The sequence below is a fragment of the Homo sapiens genome, chromosome 17 (genome assembly GCF_000001405.40).
Source record: "Homo sapiens chromosome 17, GRCh38.p14 Primary Assembly".
Classification (NCBI taxonomy): Eukaryota; Metazoa; Chordata; class Mammalia; order Primates; family Hominidae; genus Homo; species Homo sapiens.
The window spans coordinates 73,911,822-73,912,123 of record NC_000017.11 but is presented as its reverse complement, the minus strand read 5'-3'; positions in this window follow the sequence as shown (position 1 = coordinate 73,912,123).

The following is a 302-nucleotide window of genomic DNA, read 5'->3' as shown; positions in this document are numbered from 1 at the left end:
TCACAGAGGAGCAGCTTGATGGGAGGGGTCCACTCTCATCTGTTATGTAAGAGGTGGGGGGTGGGGCAGGACTGTTTATGGGATGAGGGTGTTTCAATCATCAACATTTAATGTTTGCATATTACATGTGACTTTTGATGTGGCATGGAGGAAGGTGGCATGTGTCAGGGGCTATTGAAGACATCTAGAGTGAATGATGACAAGCACAGGACCCAGCACAGAATAACCATTGATTTATTGAGCATCTACTATGCATCAGATATTCTTCTGGCTCCTGAGGATATACTGGGGTTTTGAGACAA